The sequence below is a fragment of the Homo sapiens genome, chromosome 12, assembly GCF_000001405.40.
Source record: "Homo sapiens chromosome 12, GRCh38.p14 Primary Assembly".
NCBI classification, from domain to species: domain Eukaryota; kingdom Metazoa; phylum Chordata; class Mammalia; order Primates; family Hominidae; genus Homo; species Homo sapiens.
The window spans coordinates 108,119,183-108,119,662 of NC_000012.12; the positions used below are offsets into that span (position 1 = coordinate 108,119,183).

Genomic DNA, 480 nt, shown 5'->3' on the forward strand with positions numbered 1-480 from the left:
CAACATCACAGGTAGCTCTGCACCTCCCAACTCAGAGCCTCATGACCACATCAAATAGAGCTGTTTTCCATTGTAGTGAATTCTGACAAATTTATGTTGCCTTAGCATCTGCTTGGAACACAAGTTTAATTTTCTCAAACCAGAAGCAGGGCTCGCTGACTCCTGACATAGTTTCAGTTCTACACCACACCCAAATTGCTAGAGCCAGTGGCTGAAGATAAGAACTCGAGGCCTCTGTCCTGCCTAGCAACTGGGCTCCCCACTTTCCTGTTGAATCATTTAAAGGGGCCATTCAGACATTTCCTTGCAAACTGAAAGTGACCCACACCCTGTTCCCTTATATGTACTGCACACCATGTCCTTCTCTCTCTCTCTCTCTCTCTCTCTGCCTGACTCTTCATTTCTGCCTTGCATGACCTGGGGACAGAAGACTGTCCTCCCAACTCATTATGCCCTCCTTGCCTTGAATCTTCTAGTAGA

At 46.9% G+C, this 480-nt stretch overlaps 2 annotated features.

The window, feature by feature from the left end:
• Nucleotides 301-350: an enhancer, noted in NCBI's record as "active region_6957". NCBI's record gives its function as "activates an Ori minimal core promoter by ATAC-STARR-seq in GM12878 lymphoblastoid cells {active_cell/tissue: GM12878}" and the evidence as "EXISTENCE:reporter gene assay evidence [ECO:0000049][PMID:35858748]".
• Nucleotides 361-480: an enhancer, noted in NCBI's record as "active region_6958". NCBI's record gives its function as "activates an Ori minimal core promoter by ATAC-STARR-seq in GM12878 lymphoblastoid cells {active_cell/tissue: GM12878}" and the evidence as "EXISTENCE:reporter gene assay evidence [ECO:0000049][PMID:35858748]".